Below are 5,546 nucleotides of genomic sequence, written 5' to 3'. Positions count from 1 at the left end.
CCAGAAGGGACCTTGAGGGATCTCTTGTGTGTGTGTGTGTATATATATATATGTGTGTGTGTGTGTGTGTTTGTGTGTGTATTACATGTGCATATGCATATATATATTTGTGTATATATAATACATATATGTGTATGTATGTGTATTGCCATCTCATCCCCTCTATGCTTAAGGCATTTAAGCATAGAAGGATTTGCAGAGATATACTCAAGGGATTTGTGAAACCCATGAAATTGTGTGCAAAATGTAGTGTGCATATGTACAATTTTCACCATCTTCTCAAAATAGGTCCCTGTATGGTGGATCGTTTCTTCCCCATTCTTTTTTTTTTTTCTGTTTTCTTTTTTTCTTCCCCATTCTTTATTTACTGTTGAGGAGAAGGAATTTTTATTTTACTCCCCAGAAGCATACAGCATGGGAACATTCCCTCGGCCACCTGGCTCACTCCTCCCGGGGGGCCATTTCTCTGGTTAGGGAAGGAAGTGAGAGTGCTTGGGTCAAGGGGTCTTGCTTCTAAGTGCCTGCTTGGCTCCTCTCCAGCTGCATGGGTGTGTGATCTGTGTGGCTGCACAGGGCACTGTGTTCAGAAGGGCCTCATGCTTGGTTTAATGCCCTGCTGTTGCCCTTTTGAAATTATTAACAACTTTTGGACAAGGGGCCCCACGTCTTCATTTGGCACTGGTCCTTGAAAATTGTGCGGCCAGTTCTGCCTGAGAGGGCATATTGTCATCTGCTCTCCAATAAGGGGAAGGCTCTGCCCTTGCGAGGGGAGGCCTGACGTTTTGGAGGAGTAAATTTCAATTTACAAGGGATGCTTTAGGAAGCCCCTTTGACTATAGAACCAAGGTTTGCTCTCCCCCTAGCTCCATTGGCATGGTGGGTGTTTGAGAGGCAGCATTGCATGGTGGTTATAAGTGTGGGCCACTACTGGGTACAAATCCCAGTTCTGCCACCTTCTAGGTGTACGACCTTGGGCAAATGATTCAACTTCATGTGCCTCAGTTTCCTATCCTGTAAAGCTTGGGTAACACTATTAAATGACTTAACATATCTAAGTACTCATGGTTCCTAGAACATAATGTTATTAATAATAGCTATTATAATTTTATCACCAGGACTCCTGTACCTTACTTATTACTTGATTTGGAATTCAGAAGGGGAAGACAGGGAGTGACTTATGGGGCTCTCTAAAACCTCAGCAGACCCTATGTCTTGAAACAGAGTAAGAACTGCTGTTAGTTTATTTATTTATTTTTTTGAGACAGGTTCTTGCTCTGTCGCCCAGGCTGGAGTGCAGTGGTGCGATCTTGGCTCATTGCAGCCTCTGCCTCCTGGGTTCAAGCGATTCTCCTGCCTCAGCCTTCCAAGTAGCTGGGACTACAGGCATGAGTGACTATGCCCAGCTACACTGTTAGGTGTTTAAAGAAGAGTCTCTCCCTGCCCTCAAGGAGCTTGTAAATTCATAATCTAAAAACTGACACTCTGGGGTAACAGGGGATAAGAACTTTATAAGAGTTAAAAATTAAATCCTTTAGGCTCAGCCAGTGACAGATGAACCCCTCTCATTAAAAGAAGACTCTTTTATCCTGTCTTTGTAACGTCCTCCAAGGGTACATGGATGGGTATTCTCCCTCCCTAGACAATAGCTGCAAGCATGTGTCTGAGAAGATGATGTATTTATAAGAGATTTGGTTTTCAACCCAATAAATCAGGCCCAGTGCAGTGTTCAGGCAGAGCTGTGAGCCTGTGACTGGCTTAGTAATTGTCCAGAATCATCTTGATTGTTCTCTGAACGCTGAAGGGGGATGATTATTCTTTCACAGCATTTTTGACCTCAGGAAGCTTATAGGCTAGTGAGGCAACCAAAATATAGGCAAGGATTAAGCAGGGTGTGCAAGGGGTAGGAACGTGGGCAGGAGAGGGGGTACTTTAGCCAACAGGGAGAGCTTCACAGAGGAGTTCAACTCACCTAAAATAAGAGTAGAGTTTCCATGGCAGACATGTAGGTGCAGAGGGTGTGTGTTTGTGTGCGCACGTGCACGCACAATGTGTGTGTGTGTGTATGTGTGTGTGTAATGAATCTTTTAAGAAAAGAGGAATTTAAAAATATTAATATGCAGCTATAGCTTGTTCTCATGGTGGTGATTGCTTTCATTTCAGACTCATCGGTGCTGTAAATGAAAATCTTAATTTAAATACTCTTCCCAACAAAGACTCCCCTGCCCTTCTTTTCTCCCTAGAATGCCTTTATTTCCTTTAAAACCATCCTTACTTGTGATTCATATCTGATTTAACAAAATTTCTCCCCGGGAGTTTATCTCTGGTAAATAGTTTTCTAGAGGACCACGAAGGCATAAAGATCTGAGAAGCCCCAAATGGCTTTGAAGTGCTCTGAGTGTAGATGCCGTGGGGGGACGTGGGAAGGAAGGAAGGATGACTCAGCAGAGAGAGGCCCGGTGTGAGCAGCAGACAACGCCCACAGCTGAGCCCTCGGCAGGAGGCCACTCACAGCTTTGAAGGCAAGCCTTTGGCTTCTGCGGGGTGGACTTTGTGAAAAGACAAAGAAGAAATGCCTCAAAATAGGTCCCAGATTAGGACTTAGAACAACATCTCTGCTGAAACCCTTTGTCTACGAGTAAAACTAGTGATGGGGCCCTGCTGTACTGAACCTGCAAGAAGTTTGCTAGGTATGAAGGTGTCCTCCGCTAGTGAGGAGACCTCAGTTTTGTCCCTGTGCTGCTGTGGACTTTGTGACTTAGGGCAAGCCCTCTAATTTCTCTGGTCTCAGTTTCCACATCTGTGAAGCGGTGCCCCTGTCTCACAGCAATCCCAAATGAGATGTTTGTAAATTGTCAAGAACTTTGGGTGTTATTTTTCCACCTCATTATAGATTTACTCTACACCATGCAGCATGTTTGGAAGCTACCTGAAAACAGGAAGAAAGTAGACCAAATTAAACAAAAAGCAAAAGAAAAATGGGGATCTCTTTGAAGCCAAATAAGAACTTGGGCAGCTTGTAACTGTGATCACCCCTACAGCCAGAAAGCCTCACGAAAATGGCAGAAGCTCTGTTTAGGGGACCACAGGCCTGTGTCAAAACAGACAGAAATGGTTTCTGTTGAAATTATATATCAGTGCTACAGTAAGGATGCCTGCCTCCCTTCCTCCCTTCCTCCCTTCCTCCCTCCCATTTCTTGTCTGTTATATGATGGGCATGGTGCTAAGAAAATGTAGGAGTTCACAACCCAAAGTGGGGAGAGGTCTTTAAACCTGCCGCCACGACACAAGGCAGAAATAGCTGGAATGGGAGTTGAGGGTTCTAGGTGCAGCTGGACACCAAGGAAGGGGCTCCCAAGACTGATGGTGGCAGTTGAGGAGTTGTTCCTTTCATTTCGGCCTGTTTATTAAGGTTTGAGTTCATATTTTGTTTGCACATGTTTGTTTATTTCTGTATTTACTTTTTGAGATGGAGTCTCACTGTGTCGTTCAGGCTGGAGTGCAGTGGCGTGATCTCGGCTCACTGCAAACTCTGCCTCCCGGGTTCAAGCGATTCTCCTGCCTCAGCCTCTCGAGCAGCTGGGATTACAGGCGTGCACCACCATGCCCGACTAATTTTTGTATTTTTAGTAGAGATGGGGTTTCACCATGTTGCCCAGGCTGGTCTCAAACTTCTGACCTCAGGTGATCCGCCTGCCTTGGCCTCCCAAAGTGCTGGGATTATAGGCATGAGCCACCGCTCCTGGCCTGTATTTGTTTATTCAGTATTTATTTGTAAAGTATTAGAAACTGGCTTTATACTGTAGACCTGGTGGACGATATCTGACCTTCATTTAGCCAGAACATACACGGACACCTGACTTTTTTGAGATCTTTTCTGACAAAACTCTCTCCTTGGTGCAAGATGCAGAGAGGATGCTTCCCTTTGGCCTAAAGTATACAGTGCTTGCATGGGTTTAGGAACAGTTCACCAAACCCTGGTCTTTGTCCCAACATACCCCTGTTCATTTTATGCTAATTCAATTCCCTTCACTTTACTCCAACTCAATTACATTTTTTTTTTGAGATGGAGTCTGGCTCTGTAGCTCAGGCTGGAGTGCGGTGGTGCGATCTCGGCTCACTGCAACCTCCGCCTCCCAGGTTCAGGAGAGTCTCCCACCTCAGCCTCCCGAGTAGCTGGGACTACAGGCGTGCGCCATCACACCCGGCTAATTTTTTTGTATTTTTAGTAGAGACGAGGTTTCACCATGTTGCCAGGCTGGTCTTGAACTCCTGACCTCAGATGATCCGCCCGCCTCGCCCTCCCGAAGTGTTGGTATTACAAGCGTGAGCCACCACGCCCGGCACAATTACATTTAATTCAACTCAATTTGGTTCAGAATATTTCCGAGCATTTGCAAGGCGCTTCAGGTCCAAGGACAACCAAAGCGCGGATCAGTTTCCTGGTTCTGACAGTCTCCATTGTGGCCACTGGGTGGCAGTGTGTCACACGGAATGTTCATTCCGCGGGACTGCCGAGTGGCTCCTCCCCAAGGCCTAAGGCTCAGAGATTGTTGCCTCTTACTTGGATTTATTTAATGTACACTTTCAAATTGAAGCGACAGCTGGTATTATAGCCGTGCGTGTGCAGTATATGTGCTTAATTATACTGTGGAATTAAATTCAAAAGGGTGAGAATGTGGTTACATGTGTATGTTTCCAAAGCCGGTTCGAGTTCGCAGCTTCTGCCTGGGGCTCAGTCAGGGATGAGGAAAGTGGAGAGGAAGCCGAGGGAAGCCTCAGACCGAGCGGCAGGTGGCATCAAAAGGAAACTCTGCAAATTTGGCTTCCTGGGCCACTGACAGCCACAGCCCCGAGGTTCCCTTCCCTGCCTACCTGCTGCCTGAGGGTTTTTCTGGAACGGTCAGATTTTTATTATTTGTTTTTTCCAGTATCATGGGCATAAAATGGTATCTAAATGTGATTTCAATTTTGTGTTTCTATTTTACCTGTGAGGCTGAACATCTTTCCACAAGTTCATTGGCCATTCCTCGTGGAGTAAATGATGGTCTCATTTTTATCTGCTCAGATTTCAAGGTACCCATTGTTAGTTTTTTTTTTTTTTTTAAACAGATGTTCTCACATAACAAAGCCTGTCCGTGGTATTTTTCATACCAGCTAAGATGCTTTTGGCCTCAAGTTACAAAACACACAACTAACAATAGCTTAAATAACAAAGATGGCCAGGCTCGGTGGCTCATGCCTGTAATCCCAGAACTTTGGGAGGCCAAGGCGGGTGGATCACCTGAGGTCAGGAGTTTGAGACCAGCCTGGCCAACATGGTGAAACCCTGTTTCTACTAAAAATACAAAAAAATTAGCCGGGTGTGGTGGCGCGTGCCTGTAATCTCAGCTACTCGGGAGGCTGAGGTGGGAGAATCGCTTGAACCTGGGAGGCGGGGGTTGCAGTGAGCTGATATTGCGCCACTGCATTTCAGGCTGGGCCACAGAGCAACATTCCGTCTCAAAACCATAAACAGAAACAAAACAAATAAACCCCCCAAAGCCCCC

General features: G+C 45.8%; 4 annotated features.

Annotated features, from left to right (window-relative positions):
• Positions 566–625: a silencer, noted in NCBI's record as "silent region_4750". NCBI's record gives its function as "represses an Ori minimal core promoter by ATAC-STARR-seq in GM12878 lymphoblastoid cells {active_cell/tissue: GM12878}" and the evidence as "EXISTENCE:reporter gene assay evidence [ECO:0000049][PMID:35858748]".
• Positions 2,123–3,322: an enhancer, noted in NCBI's record as "P300/CBP strongly-dependent group 1 enhancer chr12:98792630-98793829 (GRCh37/hg19 assembly coordinates)". NCBI's record gives its function as "activates an origin of replication core promoter dependent on BRD2, BRD4, P300/CBP, MED14 and CDK7 cofactors, with strong dependence on P300/CBP, by STARR-seq in HCT116 cells {active_cell/tissue: HCT116}" and the evidence as "EXISTENCE:reporter gene assay evidence [ECO:0000049][PMID:35650434]".
• Positions 2,361–2,410: an enhancer, noted in NCBI's record as "active region_6839". NCBI's record gives its function as "activates an Ori minimal core promoter by ATAC-STARR-seq in GM12878 lymphoblastoid cells {active_cell/tissue: GM12878}" and the evidence as "EXISTENCE:reporter gene assay evidence [ECO:0000049][PMID:35858748]".
• Positions 2,621–2,670: an enhancer, noted in NCBI's record as "active region_6838". NCBI's record gives its function as "activates an Ori minimal core promoter by ATAC-STARR-seq in GM12878 lymphoblastoid cells {active_cell/tissue: GM12878}" and the evidence as "EXISTENCE:reporter gene assay evidence [ECO:0000049][PMID:35858748]".

Source organism: Homo sapiens, chromosome 12, assembly GCF_000001405.40.
Source record: "Homo sapiens chromosome 12, GRCh38.p14 Primary Assembly".
NCBI lineage: Eukaryota > Metazoa > Chordata > Mammalia > Primates > Hominidae > Homo > Homo sapiens.
The sequence above is the reverse complement of the archived record's forward strand: the minus strand, read 5'-3'. Positions and strand labels throughout refer to the sequence as shown.